This window comes from Homo sapiens, chromosome 15 (genome assembly GCF_000001405.40).
Source record: "Homo sapiens chromosome 15, GRCh38.p14 Primary Assembly".
Taxonomy (NCBI): Eukaryota; Metazoa; Chordata; class Mammalia; order Primates; family Hominidae; genus Homo; species Homo sapiens.
In genome coordinates this window covers 83,413,020-83,417,486 of record NC_000015.10, presented here as the reverse complement: position 1 = coordinate 83,417,486, position 4,467 = coordinate 83,413,020, and the positions used below count along the sequence as shown (strand labels likewise).

Below are 4,467 nucleotides of genomic sequence, written 5' to 3'. Positions count from 1 at the left end.
TAATGTACTAAGAAAAAAAAAAATACCACTTGCAGCAGCCACTGGTGCCTTGGAGCACCAGAGAAAGGCTGGGGAACAGGTGGAGGTGGGAGAATCCATGCGCTATGCTTTACCGCTGGGCCTTTGTCCTGGGCTGAACTCTTCCCACCTTCCCCCCAAATTCATATGTTGAAGTCCTAACCTCCAGTATCTCAGAAAATGACTGTATTTGGGATAATGTCCTTAACGAGTTAACTAAGTTTAAATGAGGTTACTAGGATGTGTCCTAATATGACTGATGTCCTTCTGAGAAGAAGAAACTTGGACATTCACATGCACAGAGGGAAGACCCTGTGAAGACTCAGGGAGAAGGCAGCCCTCTGCAAGCCACGGAGACAGGCTTCAGGCGAAACCAGCCCTACCAACACCTGCAGCGCAGACTTCAGCTTGGAGGACTCTGAGAAAATAAATTTCCGTTGTTTTAGGCCACCCACACTGTGGTACTTTGTGATGGCAGTCCAGGTAAACAAATAGAGCCCTGAAGCAGCCCTGTTTGACCTAAAGAATCACACAAGAGGCTGGGCGTGGTGGCTCACGCCTGTAATCTCAGCACTTTGGGAGGCCCAGGCGGGTGTATCACATGAGGTGGGGAGTTCAAGACCAGCCTGACCACCATGGAGAAACCCCATCTCCACTAAAAATACAAAAAAATTAGCCAGGTGTGGTGGCGCATGCCTGTAATCCCAGCTACTCAGGAAGCTGAGGTGGGAGAATAGCTTGAACCCAGGAGGCAGAGGTTGCAGTGAGCCAAGATCACACCACTACACTCCAGCCTGGGGAACAAGAGCAAAACTCTGTCTCAAAACAACAATAACAAAAAAAAAAAAAAAAAAAAAAACAAAAAACACATCACACAAGACTCTCTCACCTTCTATCTTCATGTCTCCCACTTGTTGGCTTTCCTGGAAACATGGCCACTGGCAGATTCTGTGTCCCAAAAAAGAGTTCTGGTAGGTCCAACATAGGTCAAATCTCCATTGATTGACCAGTCACTTGAAGGGTGTTGTTAAATGATTGACTCAGGTTGGGTAAAATGCCCACTCTCTACCAATCAAAGGTGCCACCTACCACTGACACTCAACTTGCTACTTTAAAGCAAGCCATAGGCTGGGCGTGGTGGCTGTAATCCCAGGACTTTGGGAGGCCGAGGTGGGCGGATCACGAGGTCAGGAGATCAAGACCATCCTGGCTAACACGGTGAAACCCCATCTCTACTAAAAATACAAAAAAAATTAGCTGGGCGTGGTGGCGGGCGTCTGTGGTCCCAGCTACTTGGGAGGCTGAGGCAGGAGAATGGCATCAACCCAGGAGGCGGAGCTTGCAGTAAGCCGAGATCGCGCCACTGCACTCCAGCCTGGGCGACAGAGTGAGACTCCATCTCAAAAAAAAAAAAAAAAAAAAAAAAAAAAGCCAGATTTCCCACCTGATATTTGCTACTCTCTGACCTTCCAAAGTGCCACCCTGAGCAGAGCCACTTACATGAACAGGTGAGAGAGTCAATGACCAGTGGACTCTGGAAATCCGGAAAGATATACAAGGTCCCAAAATGTCCCCCTTGACCGCAACCGTTCACTATGTCTCAAATATTCTCTTGGCATGTTGCTTTTTAGAGCATCTCCTGCTATGCAACTTCTTTTAAAAGACACACACTCCTGGTAGTGGTTGTAGGTGGAACTGATTTTTACTATGTTATTAATTTCTTGGTTGCCTTCTTTTTTCTTTGTAGGAGAATCAGAGAGTCCTAGAGACTGTGGGGAAAGTCCAAGCAAAAGGGAAGTGAGGTGCAAGAGTTTCACAAACTTAAAATTTTCATTGGACTACCTCTGCCTTTGAGCAGGACAAGTTCCAGGAAAGGAATTTTTCGTGTAAAATACAGAATCGTCATCAATATGTGGACTTCTCATTTGAAATGGCACCTTAATCTAGGGATCCTGATGTATTCCTAGATTTATAAAAAGCAAAATTCACAAGTTCTTTATAATTGTGCCTCTCTTGATACTGTAATTTAACTATGTTCCCCAAAAGAAAAAGCCAAAGAAATATCACAATATACAGCTTCTATCTCCTACCACCAATTTAAAGTTGGGTACAAAAGCCCTATCTTTCCCAGATCACCAGCTTTTAGAAGTTTCTTGTTTTCAAGGTTTTATTTGTGGCAGCCAACTTCATGAGGCCTGGTCATCCACTAGAATGGAGCTGTGGAAAGCAGGCTGAGAATGGACCTAAACCTAAATGGTGGTCAAGTCCCAGGAGAGCAACTTGGGCAAATGATGGCAAAGAGGGTGATGGGAGTGGGCAAGGGGTGGGGTCAAAGGAACCAGGGCTAAGAATTTGAGAAAACGAGGCCGGTATGGCAGGGACCCCCTTCTGCACCTGGCCCTGGCTACAGCTGTGTGCCGATGGGATTTGGCAGTGCTTCTAAAAATGTCTCCATGGATACCCTGGTGGCTTCTCATTCTCCTGGTTGACTTATTTAAAATATAGATTCCTGAGCTACCCCTCATCCAGAGCCACCTTCCCCAACCAGACTCACTGAATCCAAATCTGTAGGGTCAGGGCTCAAGTAAGAGCATTGTCACAGTACCCCCACAATAATTTTTATGTATGCAAATTTTTAGAACTTTTCTGAAGTAGAGGTTTGCACTTTCAGAGAAAGTAAGTAGATGCACCTAGGTAGGGGGGTAGTCTTGATATCAAAACAGCAATCAAGAGAAATACTTTTCCAGCTTAGCAGAGCTGGAAAATCTTGCCCATGAACCCCTGTTTCATGCCCGAAACTTAGCCTTTCCAAGCTCCCCATTCCTGGTCTCCTGGTACTCCTACCCAAGGCTCAGCTTGACTCCTGCATTCTAGACATGAGGTGGGAAGTCCTCAGATTCTCCTCCCACAACTACATAGGGACTTAGAGCAAGGTCACTCCTCCTGGAAGACCGGCCTAGGATGAGGTATTCCCATGCCAACGTGGGCTGTTTTCTCCAGCTTGTTGAGTGGGTTATTTGGTTATTTTGACTCCCATTCTGTGTGTATTTCTGCTGGTGCAGGGGAACTGACTCCCTGGTCTCGACTGCTGCCTTTTGGAATTATTTTCACCTGAACCATGTCGGGAGACTATTCTTTGCCTGGCTGGGTATTTGCTTGAGACTCCTTCCAACCAGTCTCATCCTAAGTGCCTATCAAGTATGAAACCTAGTACTTAGTAGTTGCTCAATTAAAATGTGTGGGAAGGATGGGTTCAGGAATGGGTAGATGCATCGATAGATGGATGAATTGTGGATGGGTTGATGGGATGAATTGATAGATGTGTTGCCCCTTCCCTTCTAACTAGCCCCTTTGCCCACCAGGTGGGGAGATGGCACTGATCTAAGGTGAAGTCACAAGACCACAGATCTGTATTCGTAATGCTGTCATTCTTGGGCAGCCTCTGGTAAACCACTTCCATTAGGGCAACAAGAACAGCTATGTAACTTTAGACCACCAGCCTGTGACTCCAGATGATGGAGATAATGGCTGTCAACCTCCAGATCCAGGCTATTCCTTTGGGTGGCTTACAGGGCCCATATTCAATAACAAATTGATCCCCTCTATGCTTCACTTTGATACCTTGAAACATGGCCTCATTCTGAGGCTTATTATGTAGCCAAATTGAAACTTTAGATCTTTCCACATGAAAATCACTGCAGTTACAAACATTAAGCATTTGAAGGAAACCAACCACACACTTACTCAAAAGAGCTATGTCTCATCTTCTCCATCTGTAAAACTAGGCCCAGTCCCCAGATCCCTCAGGATGAACCAGCAGCTCCCAATGCCAGGAAAGTGCTTCAACAACATCAGGTGAGCTGTACAAATGAGAGGTAATTTGACAAGTCAGCCAGCACAGAGCAGTCAGTCAAGTCAATGCAGAGTGCGCTAATGCACTTAAAAGCCCAGAAGCAAGCCCAGGCTGAGTAATAATGGCCTAAACACCACCAGGGATTTCCCAAGTCTAATTTCCAGCGCTGATGGCATGGTGTTCCATCTCCATTGGGCTAATTAGGGCCCGATGGAGACAGAATCTGACAGAGAGGCTCACCCTGGCCTTGGTCTAGATTTATGGGGAAGAGAAGTTGCCAGGAAGGTAAATTAGACATCAATGGGGCTTCCCCCAGGATGACAAGGTCTCAGGGGCATTAAGACTGTGAGATTGGAAGTGACTATAGATAGATGCTATGCAGAGAGACTGGGAGGTGTGGGGGTTAGCGTAAGGGCTTTCCCGTTTGCTAACCATGTGGTCACGGTCCACGTCACCATTCAAATCCTTAGTTCCTTCATCTGTAACATATAGCTGATGTTACCTAACTCAAAAGATTGTTGTGAAAAACAAAATATATGTAAAATGGTAGTATTGGGTCTGGCACAGAATGACTACCCAATCAATGGTGGTTATTT

General features: G+C 46.0%; 1 annotated feature.

The window, feature by feature from the left end:
* Positions 4,055 to 4,144: an enhancer, noted in NCBI's record as "active region_9972". NCBI's record gives its function as "activates an Ori minimal core promoter by ATAC-STARR-seq in GM12878 lymphoblastoid cells {active_cell/tissue: GM12878}" and the evidence as "EXISTENCE:reporter gene assay evidence [ECO:0000049][PMID:35858748]".